Source organism: Homo sapiens, chromosome 2 (assembly GCF_000001405.40).
Source record: "Homo sapiens chromosome 2, GRCh38.p14 Primary Assembly".
Taxonomy (NCBI): domain Eukaryota; kingdom Metazoa; phylum Chordata; class Mammalia; order Primates; family Hominidae; genus Homo; species Homo sapiens.
In genome coordinates, this window is record NC_000002.12 from 227,261,387 (window position 1) to 227,276,614 (window position 15,228).

Genomic DNA, 15,228 nt, shown 5'->3' on the forward strand with positions numbered 1-15,228 from the left:
CGTGGTGGCGTACGCCTGTAATTCCAGCTAGTCGGGAGGCTGAGGCAGCAGAATCACTTAAACCTGGGATGCGGAGGTTGCACTGAGCTGAGATGGCACCACTGCACTCCAGCCTGGGCAACAGTGAGACTCTATCTCAAAATAAAATAAAACAGTGTTCTCAGCTTCTTAAATTGTCATCTTTGCAATTTATAGTGGAAGAAGGAGTGGAGCTGATACAAACTGATACAGAAATGCTCTTTTTCTCTTCTCAGCAGTTTTAACTATTTGCAAAAGCTTTATTGTCCGGGATTTTTACAGTGACTTTTGGAGTATGAGCAGGGACCTTGAAACTCAGAGGAGGTACAGAAATAGAAAACAATGTCATGGTAATGAGGTTGCTTGAAAATGACAGTTTTCATAACATATCATGAGTTGCATAAGGATACCTACATTACACTTTTTCTGTAAAGTTCTAAACTTTCGTCTCTGACTCATTAGAGTGTTTACCTTTTGAGAGAGGAAAAAGAGTTGGATCAGGGATGGTCCACAGGGACTCATCAAGTATAACTGTAGTGTGTTCTTTTTAACGAAAACAAAACTAAGAAAAAAGAGCAAAATTTGATAAACTACTGGGCATGTGCCCTGCCACTGATCATATTTTTCTCTATATGATGTTGTATATTATACTACTTCATAATTTTGAAAATTAATCAAAATAAAGCAGACTGCAGAACTATAAGTATACTATAATTTCACTATTAAAAAAATAGATACAGAAATGGATAAATATTATATGTACCTGAATATGCATGGAAAGATATACCTCAAACTGTTAATAGTAGATATCTCTTACAGTTAGAATGGGGCAAAAAGATATTTTAGAGCTCTGACATTAAGGAAGACCTCCTTCCCCCTGCCAGGCCCCTAAGTAAAAAAAACAAAACAAACAAACAAACAAACAAAAAAACAGGCTCCTTTAATAAGCCGATGAGAGGAAAACTACAAAGCTCTAATTCCAGAAGAATTTTAGGATAGTTTTTTCTGTTTCTGTGAAAAATGGCATTGGTATCTTGATAGGAATTGCACTGAATCTGTAGATTGCTTTGGGTAGTATGGTCATTTTAACTAGATTAGTTCTTCTGATCCATGAGCATGGGATGTCTTTCCATTTGTTTGTGTGCTCTTCAATTTCTTTCACCAGTGTTTTATAGTTTTTCTTGCAGGGATCTTTCACCTTGTTGGTTAAATGTATTCCTAGGTATTTTATTGTGTGTGTGTGGCTACCGCAAATGGGATTGCCTTCTTGATTTCTTTTTTGGCTATTCCATTATTGGTGCATAAAAAATGCTACTGATTTTTGTATGTTGATTTCATGTCCTGCAATTTTACTGAATTTGTTTATCGGCTCTAAGAGTTTTTTTGATGGAGTTAGGGGTGAAGAGAGATTGGTTAATGGGTACAAGCATACAGCTAGATAGAAGGAATAAATTCTAATGTTTGATAGCACAGTAGGGTGACTATAGTTAACAACAATGTATTGTATATTTCAAATTAACTGGAAGAGAGGACATGAAATGTACTCAACACAGAAATGATAAATACTTGGGTCAAAGATACTCAAAAATACCCTGACATGATCATTACACTACACATTTGATACATGTAACAAAATCTTACATGTATCCCATAAATTAGTACAAATCTAATATGCCAAAGTAAAATATGATTAAAAAAATACAAAACTCTGAAATGGATGTCAATCAGAAGATTTTATCTTTGTGTTCAAATAATAGGACATAATCAGATATTACCCCGGCTGGTTTCTCAGTCCTTTGCTGGTGGCATCTCTCTTCTTAATAGTTAAACTGTTTGTGGGACAGAGATTTGAGACTGTCCCCTCCTCACATCCTCACCACTTTAAGATTAGGGTGGGGTTCGTGCCACCAGGCACGGCTCCTTTCCCAGGAGATGACTATCCCCCATCACAGCCTTTTATGTCTAAGACACTGGCAGGAATAAAGTCCACTTAACAACTTTCTCTCTTTCTCATTTTGCGCACTGGGGGCATCCTCTAGTCTCTAATAAAAAAAATCTACAAAGTAGCATATATGGAAGTATTCCTCACTTCCTTTTAAATAAAAAGACTATAGTGCATCCCAAACTCTGTTTCAGTTTCTTGTAATAAATTTTCTTGTGGGAATGGAATGTTCTGCACTTCACTGTACTGTGGTTATTTAACAAGGCCACAGATGAAAAAAGCAAGGATATTCACTTTTTTATTTTATATGTGTTATGTACCTCTCCATTGTGCAATTTTTATAAATAAAATTAAATCACTCTTGCAATTAAAAAATAAATTCGTATTAATCAGGAAAAAATGTAAAATACAAGAAATGATTATTTTCTCCAAGGATCATCAAGGCCTGGCCTCAGAGGAGCCCCTGGATGGCCAGGCCTGAAAGGAAGTAAAGGGGAACGAGGCCGCCCAGGAAAGGATGCCATGGGGACTCCTGGGTCCCCAGGTTGTGCTGGTTCACCAGGTCTTCCAGGATCACCGGGACCTCCAGGACCGCCAGGTAAAGATGTGGAAGGGGACCCCTTTTGTGCACAGTGCCAAATGACAGATGTGTGCAAACCACGGGCAACAAACCCTCCTCACAGCTTAGCCATCAGTCTGTGTGGTTTTTATGAGTTACCTTTCCAATGGTCTTCATTTCACTAACTGTCTGTGAAAGAAACTGATGCAATGACTAGTTAACAAATGCAGCAAAGTCTTAGCCCGAGTTTCCCAGAGAGCAGAGTAGGAGGCAGGGACAAAGAGAGTGATGTGGGGAAGGATGGGTGGCTATCAAGTTGGCCTTGACCAATTGCAACTGCCTGTTCAGCCCTGGAGACTATCTGTGCCAGGGGAGAAAGAGGCAAGAATTTATCCATTTGCTCCTAGTTCCCATGGGTCAAAGATTTCCCCCCAAGAGAGGAGCCGCCCCCCACCTCCCATCCTCCCACTTCCAGGCTGTGTCTGCATGGTTCCCAGGAAGTCCCATGCCTTGGCATCAGCAGGGAAGCCCCAGGACAGTAGGCCAGAGGTGTGCCGCATGGGTGTAAGGCAACATGCTATGAGGTAAAGGGGTCAGAGATGACAGAGATGTGGCCCAATGGACTTGAAGTGGTGCTCAGAGGTCCTGACACAGGGAGCCTTTCCTTCGCATCCCTCTAGAGAGCCACTTAGCATTCTGTGTTGGCTCATAGGTACAATAGGTCCTCACAAACATATAGATCACACTTTATATTTTAACATACCTTTTCTGGGGCCAGGTGTGGTGGTGTGCCTATAATCCCAGCTTCTTCCAAGTCTCTTTTAAGATGGAGGTTTAGTATCCTCTTTTTTTCTATGTCAAGGCTGACATACAGAGTTCACAGGGCTAATGAAGCTAAAGCTGGGATCTGGGCCCAGGTGCTTGCGGCTCTCTCCCGAAGGTGTCATGCTCCCTCTGTGCCTGCTACACTCTGTCCAGGGGTCTTTGCTTCCTACTTTCCCTTCGCTAAGCAACACCCATCTGTCCTTCAGACTTCAGCTTCAAGTTCAAGTCCAGCAGAAAGCTTTCAGTGAGTCCACATCCTGTAACCTCCAAGGTTATCCCAACTGTAGAAGTTTTCACATTGCCTTCTCTTTGTCTTTGTCAGTTTTTCTTACAAGAATCAAAGTATTTTGAGGTCAAAGACTGTGTCTTTTTGGCTGTTTAAGCCCAGTATGTAGCATGGGGAACACTGCAGGTACTCAGATATTTTTTGAATTAAGCATTAATTGAGTATGAAAATGTATAAGTATACAAAAATGTATGAATGTAGAAGTATTCATATAAGTCTACACTAAGTATTAAACTTTTATCAGATTGTACTATTTAAAGATGACCTTCCAGGTATTTTAAAGATGCAGAAAACTGATCACAAGATGGTCATTCTGTGTTCCAACAAAATTAAATGGTTCCAGTGGTACCTTGTTTTTCTGAAATTTGGGACAGCTATGGTAGTGTTTTTAAATATTTACTTTCATCACCATTGCCTTCAACCTGTAATTGAAATGGCAAAGCCAAAAATTAGATTACTGAACACAATTAACCAGTTTAAGAGAAGGAGCTGTTCATTGCAACATTACAGTAGCAGATAATGTGGAAGCTGAGAAGAGCTTTCTTAGAGACCTGCTTTAAGGATGACAACTCAATTGATGTGGACAAGCAACAAAGAGAAAACAGATGATACCCTGAGTCAGAATCCATTTTTCTTTTACTCAATATATATTAAGCATCTACAGTATATCAGGAAAATACAATGTATCCAAAAATATCCAGAATAAGAGTTGATCCTTTGCCTCAAGATGCTAAAGGGATTGTCTGTGTATTAGTCCATTCTCATGCTGCTAATAAAGGCATATCCGAGACTGGGTAATTTAAAGAGGTTTAATTGACTCACAGTTCAGCACGGCTGGGGAGTCCTCAGTAAACTTACACTCGTGGCAGAAGCAGAAGCAAACATGTCCTTCTTCACATGATGGCAACATGGAGAAGTGCTGAGCAAAATGGGGAAAAGCCCATTATAAAACCATCAGATCTCATAAGCACTCATTCACTATTACAAGAACAGCATGAGGGTAACTGCCCCCATGATTAAATTACCTCCCACCAGGTCCCTTTCATGACACATGGGGATTATAGAACTACAATTCAAGATGAGATTTGGGACACAGCCAAACCATATCAACTTGGAATAATTGGAAACAACTAAGTAAGATAAAATAGGTTGATTCTGTGACCAAAAAAAAAAATTATACAATGAGCTTTCAAAGATCAACTACCTTAAAAATACCACATCTATGTAATATGAAGGGAAGAGCTGGTCACCATGCTTTCTCAGTTGCAGATAAACTTCTAAAGACTAGGCTTCCAATACAAAGATGAGAGAGATGCATTTTAAATAATACATATATTACAATACTTGCTAATTGAAAAAAACACAAATAAAAAATTGTCTTTGGTGCTGTATTTTTATAGGTGACATCGTTTTTCGCAAGGGTCCACCTGGAGATCACGGACTGCCAGGCTATCTAGGGTCTCCAGGAATCCCAGGAGTTGATGGGCCCAAAGGTTGGTTCAATCAATAATGTTGTATTAGGATAAGCCTTTTTCATCGTCATTATTATCACTGATTTTTCCCCCTGAGATAACAATGATCCCAAATAGCTACCAGTCAGTGATGACTTATTTTCCATTAGCTAAAAGTATTCATTTATCTGTAAATCAATAATTTATTTGGCACCCATGCAATAAATTGTTGGATATCCCTAAAATGTGAGTTTTTGCCTGCATGCAAGGAAAGAAACACTGAAATAGATGTTTTATGTTAGACTTTTGGAATTTCCCCTTTCAGAAGAACTGTATAGCTCAGAACATTAAAGTAAGCAGATCTATAATAAATGAATTTTTAAATTAATATGTATAACGTCCTAGATAATTTTCACTACATAAAAATGTTTAAATGTAATAAATGATAGTGTGGTTGGAAAATATTTGTTCTTTCTGAGGACTCAATGTAGCTTTTTAAGTAATGCTAGTATGCTCTCATTGCAGGAGAACCAGGCCTCCTGTGTACACAGTGCCCTTATATCCCAGGGCCTCCCGGTCTCCCAGGATTGCCAGGGTTACATGGTGTAAAAGGAATCCCAGGTACAAACAATTTGCATGCAAGTGTTTTTGCAAGCACAAAAGGGTCAATACACTGGAAGAAAATAAAGGCATTGGATTGGTGGATGTCACAACGTGGTTTAGATGAACTTGGAGGGAGAGTTTCAAAAACATATATTCTATTAACATAAAGTCAGCCAAAATCCAAGAAAAGCTGGTATTTTTCCCTATTCCATTTTAGTTGCTGACCCCTAGCAAAGTATTGTGTTAGGCAGGAATTGTGAACACAGAGTCCTACAAGAGAACAGCAGTTAACTGAAGGCAGTGAAGCAGCTGCATGAAACACACACCCTCTTTCTCTTCCATAAAGAAATATGCTCTCTCCCTTTTTTTCTCAAAAGACACAACCCTACTCAGTCCATTTTTTCATGTTCCTACTTTTAAAAGAGTCATAGAAAAATGTGGTATTTCACTTTCTTCTTAAGGATGCAAATGCTCTTTAAAAAATTGCAACATCCTCCGTGCTGGGGACAAGAGAGTTGCAGAAATGCAATAAACAAACTGAGGGTACATTTGAACGGGCCAGCGGGCACTTGGCTGCAGCCCATTGTTACTGTGCAACATGTCAGGCCCTGCATTAATAAATCTTCCAAGTTTTCATGAGAAGAAAGGAATTGGAATTTTTATTTAAAATCTCATGGTGTTTTTTTAAAAAAATATTAGCCACTAAGTCAAATTTTGAAAGGAAAAAAAAAAAAACACAACATTTTATAGCCAGTGTCCTGAGGCTTAAATAAAGGATGAGTCACAAGCCTTCTCTTGACAACTGTGTGCCAGGCCAGGACTCTCCACACCACACGGTTACTCCCGGCTGTCACCACCTCTGCTTTCGACCTCCCCGTCTTCAGTCACAGAACTGCCTATGGGCAAAACTTTGAAGTACAAAACGTCTCTGTTTACTGACTGGGTTCCTCTGCCCCTCGGGCCACTCCCCTGACTACACAGGGCCTCTCTCTCCCTCGCTACCACCCACAGTCCTGACTCTGCCACCAGCACCTTGGTCTTCAGACAATGTCATCAAATTATGTATCATTGACCATTGAGAGGTGAAGTTACAGAGCCCTTGGCCTGTGTGTTGGGCGCTGTTCTAAGGGTCTTATGTGCCTCCATTCCTTTATCTCTCACATCAGCCCGAGAGGCTGGTGCTATAATTAACCGCATTGGACAGATGAGGAAGCTGAGGCATCAGGTGGCATAGCTAATAACATGGTAGAGACTGAACTGAAATCTAGACGCGTGCTCTTACCCTCCACGCCTGCATCCCCTGACTGCGGTGCTGTCGCCTGTCTCCTAGGGGGCTGCTTTTGGGGAGTTAATCCAAAGGTCTACCTGACAACCTGGATAGGGAACATTATACATTATCACTGTCCAGTAGCCATTTGCATTGGCATAGGGTCTTCTGGGAGACTGGGTCTCAATCCAAAGATGAAAGACTAATGGCGGCAGCCGTGAACACTGTGGTCAGCCACTGGATGACATGCACTTGGGCAGGGATCCTTTGTCCCCTCAGATCCCACTCACTTCTCCTTTATGAAGGCCTCTGCTACTTTCAGTGGCTGCCCCTGCCCTGACTCACAGGCTTGTGAGGGAAGGGGCAGGGGGGAGGTAGGAGCTGTTCCTCTTGTTACTCCTGTTCAGTATCCAAATATCCAGCGGAAATGTTCTATTAAAACAAAAACCAAAAGGAAGGAAATGAAGGAGGGAAATAAGGAGGAAAAATAATAAAAGATAAAAAATCATTATTTTCCTATACTCTCCTTGAGTCTCCTCTTTGGCTCAAGGGGAGCAGGTGAGCAGCTCACTGATGCTGACCACTTATTGCATTGTTGCATTTTCCATAGTTTCTCTACATTTGGCCTATCCAGGTGCAGCTCAAAGAAGATATGTAAGCAGTAAAATGGTTTGGATCACTATAAAAAGATACACCCCAGCTCAAGATCTTGCAAAAAATAGAATCTGAATAAATATGTGTTGATTAACTGACCAGAGACCCACCCAGAAGGTCATTTAAAGGGATCATCTTGATAGAGATATTTAAATACCTATGGGAAGTATAAAATTGTACAATAAAATGCAATTTGGCAAGAGACATTCAAAACCTTAGAAAAGTTTGAGACTATTTGGCTCTGCTATTACACTTTTAAAAATTTATTATAAAGGAAATAATTGGATAAATTTGGAGAGCTAAATACCCAGAGACATTTTTCAAAGCATTGTTCACAACAGCTAAAAGTTGAAAAATGTCTACCTAATGTCTAAATGTCTAAAAACAGCATTTAGCTAAATAAATGATGGCTCGCCAACACAATAGGCAGCATGCAGCCATTTAAAATGAAGCTATAAATTCATACTTATTGACATATGTATACTATAAATCCAAAATAGTGTGTCTACGAGTCCTATGCACTTATGGATATAAAAAATGTATCATTAATTTACATTAAACTTTGGCAAATATTATCTTCTGGTAGATTTATAGGTGATTTTTAGTCTCTTCTTTCTGCATAATTTTCTTATAATGAGCATATATTACTTTTAAAAGTAATATATACTCAGAAAAAATAAAGATATATTCTTAAAATTATGAAGATAAAATTTTAAGAAGCTAAGATCTGAGTTACTTTTTACATGATCTCTTGTTCTGTTATTTACTCCCATTCTCTTATTGCATTTATGTTTTATGATAGAAGTTGTCTTTCTTTCCCCACAAGGAAACACTCTATTTTCTTCATACATTGTATTACCCTGTCTACTTAGAGTTGGCGTTCAATGAGGAGTTAGTTAATAATTCGTTGATTTGCAGGAAGACAAGGCGCAGCTGGCTTGAAAGGAAGCCCAGGGTCCCCAGGAAATACAGGTCTTCCAGGATTTCCAGTAAGATTTCATGTTTTTAAATCTTTAGCTTCAATTTGACAAATTGCACACTCTAGAAATATGGTTGCAACACACTTACCAGTTTGGTGCCTTGCAAACAGTAGGCACTTAATAGATACCTGTTGATTAAATGAATAAATCTGTGACTGATTAAGTGAATGAGTCAATGAATTTATAAACAGTTTGAAATGGTATCAGAAACAGAAAGCAGATTAGTGGTTGCCTAGGGCTGAGAGTGGGAACAGAGGTTCATTGCAAATAGGTTTGAGGGAATTTGGGAGAGTGATGGAGATGTTTGAACGTGATTGTGGTGATTGTGGCATAATTCTATAAATTTACTAAAAATCATTGAATTGTACTCTTATAAAGGAGAAATTTTATGGTATGTAAATTATACCTCAATAAGTCCGTTAAAAATTAGAATCTTGACTGTCATAGTGAATCAAAAAGTTATAGATAAATATACTTAGATCAAACTATTCAAAGAGGCTTGTTAAAATTTACCAATATTCAAACATAACCTGTATTATGGTGATTGTTCTATGGTATTAAATTATATTATTGTCTGTATTGCTTTGAATTATACTATCTAACTGAATTATTTTTCAGTTTTGGAAGTTAACAACAAAGCAAAACAAACAAAATGCTTGTAATAATAGTTGTGGACCAAAGAGTGTGTTGAAAAAATTCATGTTAAAATTGAAAAGTTCTTGTCCACACTGTTTTTAAGATTGACAGAAGAAGAATTCTAACAAAATACAATACAGATTCATTTGTGTACTACCCTAGGGTTTCCCAGGTGCCCAGGGTGACCCAGGACTTAAAGGAGAAAAAGGTGAAACACTTCAGCCTGAGGGGCAAGTGGGTGTCCCAGGTGACCCGGGGCTCAGAGGCCAACCTGGGAGAAAGGGCTTGGATGGAATTCCTGGAACTCCGGGAGTGAAAGGATTACCAGGACCTAAAGGCGAACTGGTTGGTATTTAGCAACTTTACCCTCCCTATAAATGAAGTACTCTGAAGTTAAGAGATAAAGTGATTTCTTTTCCAAAAATGGTTGGCCGCTCAGCACAGTTCATCACTCTAACTGCAGAATGAAACATCTTCAAATTAGCAGGAATAACCCAAGCAAATAGTTATAGTATTTTGACAGAATAAATAGGTAGCATTCAGTGATTTCAACCAATCAAAATTCTACATTGATAATGACCCCATCTCATACACAAATTACAGTTCCATATTTGTATCAAATGAGTCTATGGAAAAGTTCAGAAAATGATGTATAGTAGAAAGTTTAGTAAATATTTTGGGGCGATGTCCATATTTTTAAATAAAAATAAATGCATAAGAAGACAGCATATTTAGGGGTATGGTAGTCAAATAAAGAGATTAAATGTTTTGTCATTCATTTAATTTTATGGAAATTTAATCCCTTTTCATGAGAGAGTTTCTCACATATTTAATTGAGGTAATACCTACCAAGATTTTTTTTTTTTTTTTTTTTTTTTTTTTGAGAGGGAGTTTTGCTCTTGTTGCCCAGGCTGGAGTGCAATGGTGCAATCTCAGCTCACTGCAACCTCCATCTCCTGGGTTCAAGTGATTCTCCCACCTCAGCCTCCTGAGTAGCTGGGATTACAGGCATGTGCCACCACACCCAGCTAATTTTGTATTTTCAGTAGAGACGGGGTTTCACCATGTTGGCCAGGCTGGTCTCGAACTCCTGACCTCAGGTGATCCACCCACCTTAGCCTCCCAAAGTGCTGGGATTACAGGTGTGAGCTACTGCACCCAGACCTAAGATTTATTTTAAAATGTCACAGAGTGAGAGGGTGAGCACCTGTCATCATAATGTATTTACAAGAGGTTTGCAAGGGATGCTGCCCAAACTATTCTATGAAATACCAGTTTCTCCCAGGGCTAATCTGTGTTAGCCAATAAAACAGATCTTACCTCAAAGAGGTTTGGAGAAACTTGGTAAACAAATTTAAAGATTCATTTACAGACCCTTTAATATCAGAATATGAACTGTGAGTCTTCCACATGAAGATAAGCTATCTGGTCTTTCCTAAATGCTTCTGACTACAAAACCCTTTTTGGCTGGCAGCATCTATGGTGCCAGCAGTTCTCAGACCCTGCCTTGGCCAAGTCCCAGGTTGTTCACTTTGTGGTAGTTATGCTTATAAAGTGACAGTGCCAGAATTCTGATGGTCTAATATTAAGAGAATTTGTATGATGTCCCTACTTGCATCTCACTGATTTTTCTTTATAAGTTCTGGTAAAGATGCTCCATAAAGTAAATGAGAGAAAAATCAAGGTGGTGATTTGTTGAGTCTTACACCCTGTCATTAAAAAAGGAGACAGACCACTTAGCCATCTGATGATATTGAACAATGAAAAATTGAGTCAAATTTATTTCAGAGGGCCATGTTGGGAAGGAAGAGGGCTTAAATTATTTTGTCAAATTCAATTTCTTTTAAATCTACAAATCATTTTCAAGGTTATAGCATATGAAGATTTAAAAACTAGACAGTTTATGAGAGAAAATGGAAGTGGGAAATCCCCTTTGTCATGAAAATACCTGGTGAAACCAGAAATAAAGGTTTGCTGTGCTCATTTTATTTCAGAAATGTAACATTATCATGAATATCACCACTAAAGTCATTTGAACTATTGGTCAATTTGAACATAGTTTTAGTGGCTATTACCATATGGGAGACCCATCATTGTAAGATATCTCAAGTGGGACTCAAGACAGTTCCAAGTTCAAAAAATGTTGCTAAACTCCAAAGGACACAAAACGGAAGAAACCTGCAGTGCTCTTACTTTAGTAATAATTCTCATCAAATGCCAAATGCTTTTAATTCAAGATCTCAATGACAGCCTAACTGGTATTCATATTTGGAGGATGATTAACCTGTTGTAAGAATATACTGGAATGAAGCACGATTCAAACACATTCCTGTTGTCACAGGCTCTGAGTGGTGAGAAAGGGGACCAAGGTCCTCCAGGGGATCCTGGCTCCCCTGGGTCCCCAGGACCTGCAGGACCAGCTGGACCACCTGGCTACGGACCCCAAGGAGAACCTGGTCTCCAGGGCACGCAAGGAGTTCCTGGAGCCCCCGGACCACCCGGAGAAGCCGGTTGGTTAGTTTTCTTTCCAGTCCTGTTTTCCGATGGAGTGGGTTGATGGTTTCTAGAGCTAACGAAGCTTCTCCAAGACTAAGGAAAATATAGAAACTTGCTTCTAACGAATAGAATATGTCAACTCACAGATACCAGGAAAGAATATGTAGGGTATGTTAGAGAAAACTCATTTTTTCTCCATTACTGGGCAATTCAACTGAAATTTCCTAGAATATTCTATATCTATTACATACATACATATATATATATGAAATGAATAGATCCTAAGCGTTATTGCAAATTTGTTTTTTGTGGTTTTCTAGAGACAGGGTCTCACTGTGTTGCCCAGGCTGGAGTGCAGTGGCATAATTATAGTTTACTGCATCCTCAAACTTCTGGGCTTAATAGATCCTCCTGCCTGGTCTCCTGAGTAGCTGGGGCTACAGGCACGTGTCACCACGACCAGCTAATATATATTTTATTTTTATTTTTTGTAGAGACAGGATGTTGCTGTGTTGTCCAGGCTGGTCTCCTACTCCCAACCCCAAACAATCCTTGCTTCAGCCTCCCAAAGTGCTAGGATTACAGGCGTGAGCCACTGTGCGCAGCCACAAATTTGTTGATTTTGATCCATAACTCCATAGGCAGGTTACAAATAAAACTTTAAAATATCTAAGACAAATGAAGGAAAATGGTCTGATAATAGTTTAAAAGTCCAGGTAACTTTTGGGATATACATATACTGGCCGTAGTTCTGGATTCAGGAGTGTGGCTGAAGGTCAGAATAGCATGCTACTGATAGTTTTGAGCAAATAATGCCAACATGGTCATGTTTTACTTCTAAAATCACCTTAGGCTGGGCACAGTGACTCACACCTGTAATCTCAGCACTTTGGGAGGCCAAGGTGGGCAGATCACTTGAGGTCAGGAGTTCAAGACCAGCCGGGTCAACATAGCGAACCCCCATCTCTACTAAAAATACAAAAATTAGCTGAGCATGGTGGCACATACCCACAGTCCCAGCTACTTGGAAGGCTGAGGTAGGAGAATCGCTTGAACCTGGAAGGTGGAGGTTGCAGTGAGCCAAGATCGTGCTACTGCACTCCAGCCTGGGCAACAGATTGAGATACTGTCTCAAAAATAAATAAATAAATAAATAAATAAATAAATAAATTTTAAAAATCACTTTAAAGGGTAAGACCCAGTAAACCTCTAAATCATTTTGTAGTGTCTTCCCTCATCAGTAAAACTTTTTGAGTGCACAACCTTACATTATATGTTATAAATGTATGCATCATTTCTGTCCACACATGTATGTAAATCTTATTTTATGACTTTCTCTATATATTAAATAAACAAATAAATATTTATGTTTATCTGCACCTTACTTTGGAGCTGCTTTTTTTTTTTTTGTCTGAGATGGAATCTTGCTCTGTCGCCCAGGCTGGAGAGCAATGGCGCAATCTTGGCTCACTGCAACCTCCGCCTCCCAAATTCAAGTTACTCTCCTGTCTCATCCTCCCAAGTAGCTGGGATTGCAGGCACCTGCCACCATGCCAGGCGAATTTTTATATTTTTAGTAGAGATGGGGTTTCACCATGTTGGCCAGGCTGGTCTTGAACTCCTGACCTCAGGTGATCCACCTGCCTCGGCCTCCCAAAGTGCTAGGATTACAGGCATGAGCCACCATGCCTGGCCGAAGGAGGCTGCTGTTCTAATCCAGGTACTAGCAAACGGTGGTGGACCACAGTCCAAGACCAGCCCACTGCCTGATTTTGTATGATCCTCAAGCTAAGAATGGTTTTCACATTTTCAAATGATTGAAAAAAATGTTTAATGATATTTTGTGATGCATGAAAATTACATGAAATTCAAATTAGAGTATCCATAAATAAAGTTTCTTGGAACACAGCTGCACTCCTGTATGTACTGTCTCTGGCTGCTTTTATGCTACAATGGCAGAATTGAGTAGTTGGGTAGATTTCAATCACGAAGCCTAAATTTCTTACTATCTGGCCCTTTACAGCAAAAGTTTATTTAGCCCTGTTCTAATCCATCACCAAATGCTCTGTTGTTGTTGTTGTTGTTGTTGTTGTTTGAGATGGAGTCTTGCTCTGCCACCCAGGCTGCAGTGCAGTGGCGTGATCTCGGCTCACTGCAACCTATACCTCCTGGATTCAAGGGAATCTCGTGCCTCAGCCTCCTGAGTAGCTGGGATTACAGGCGCACACCACCAGGCCTGATTAATTTTTGTATTTTTAGTAGAGACGGGGTTTTACTATGTTGGCCAGGCTGGTCTTGAACTCCTGACCTCAAGTGATCCACCCGCCTTGGTCTCCCAAAGTTCTGGGATTACAGGTGTGAACCACCACACCCAGCCTCTTCTGTGATTTCTAAGTGTGAATCTTTACTAAAGGATTCCATTGTCATAAAATATATTATTACCAAAATTGTCCCATCACATACTGTAAACCTATTTTTTTCTATAAATAAATGACTATATGGACAACACTTATCACTAAACATGTTTTTAATGTTTGCCACTGTGGTCAGAATATTATCTCGTGTCCTTATCTGCTAGGTAGGCATTCTTTCCCCCGCGACAGATGAGGAACTTATCAGAGAGGTTAAGAAAAGTGTCCAGGTTTACAAACCAATGTCAGCCTTGCCCATATCAAAACTTACTGTTTTGTTCAATAGCCTTCCTGTGGAAACTAGCCACCCAATAAATAAGTATCCTATCAGTATTCACCAACGTTTAAACTTAATTCCATATTATCAATTTTTTGGAATAGGCTCTTTTCAATAGACCAGCATGTTGGGCTATTAATTTCCCTTTTAGAAAAAAAAAAAAATTGCAGCTCGCTGCCAGCGCTCATTTAATTTTACATAAACACATTCTTTGAGGCTGAAGCAAATCTGATTTTCAATGTGAAATAAAATACAATAACTGTTCTTGGAGTTATTTCTAAACAGAATTTGTCTCTAATCCTAATGTAAGAGGGTAAAGTTAGGACCGTCATCTGTGAGTTATCTCAGAGTAAACAGGAAACAGGTTAAAACAAAGTTTAGACGATTGTCTACACTTATAAATATTTGTTGATTCAATAAGAAAGTTTCTATGGGCTGGTCGTCCTTAAGCTAGTTTTGAAGTCTGTGAAAACAGAGGTTATTTTTTATTTTTTGGGGATATGTTTATAAACCCTTTATAATCGTATTTTCCGCTATCGTCTAAGACAAGCTTCAATATATACCCCAATCTTATGACCACAAATTTCCTTAAGGCCCTAGGGGAGAGCTCAGTGTTTCAACACCAGTTCCAGGCCCACCAGGACCTCCAGGGCCCCCTGGCCATCCTGGCCCCCAAGGTCCACCTGGTAAGTATCCTCTGCCAAATCTGGTACATGGCATCAGACACACACAACACCCTGACTCTCTTGGAAAAATACTGTCCCCATTATAAGGAAAAAAATGTATTCATTGGCTCCAAAAGAGAGCACAGGGCAGTGTCTTA

The 15,228-nt window shown here is 39.4% G+C and overlaps 1 protein-coding gene and 1 long non-coding RNA gene across 9 annotated transcripts in view; one reads left to right on the plus strand and one right to left on the minus strand.

The window, feature by feature from the left end:
* COL4A3 (collagen type IV alpha 3 chain) overlaps window positions 1–15,228 on the plus strand; it is a 150,169-nt gene that overhangs the window by 96,763 nt on the left and 38,178 nt on the right. For all 8 annotated transcript variants that reach the window (XR_001738601.2, NM_000091.5, XM_005246277.4 and 5 more), the window contains exons 21-27: window positions 2,394–2,558; window positions 5,031–5,123; window positions 5,607–5,702; window positions 8,524–8,594; window positions 9,384–9,566; window positions 11,563–11,731; window positions 14,999–15,091. Coding sequence is in view for 7 of the 8 variants with exons in the window: in NM_000091.5 (NP_000082.2) it covers window positions 2,394–2,558; window positions 5,031–5,123; window positions 5,607–5,702; window positions 8,524–8,594; window positions 9,384–9,566; window positions 11,563–11,731; window positions 14,999–15,091 (870 nt within the window). In the remaining variant the exon portion in view is untranslated. The remainder of the gene's footprint in view (window positions 1–2,393; window positions 2,559–5,030; window positions 5,124–5,606; window positions 5,703–8,523; window positions 8,595–9,383; window positions 9,567–11,562; window positions 11,732–14,998; window positions 15,092–15,228) is intronic.
* The window catches only part of MFF-DT (MFF divergent transcript), a 104,113-nt gene that overhangs the window by 40,335 nt on the left and 48,550 nt on the right, over window positions 1–15,228 (minus strand). The window contains exons 5-8 of the long non-coding RNA NR_102371.1: window positions 7,242–7,383; window positions 6,967–7,057; window positions 4,489–4,549; window positions 3,283–4,052 (exon numbers count right to left, since the gene is read on the minus strand). This is a non-coding gene — a long non-coding RNA (MFF divergent transcript). The remainder of the gene's footprint in view (window positions 1–3,282; window positions 4,053–4,488; window positions 4,550–6,966; window positions 7,058–7,241; window positions 7,384–15,228) is intronic.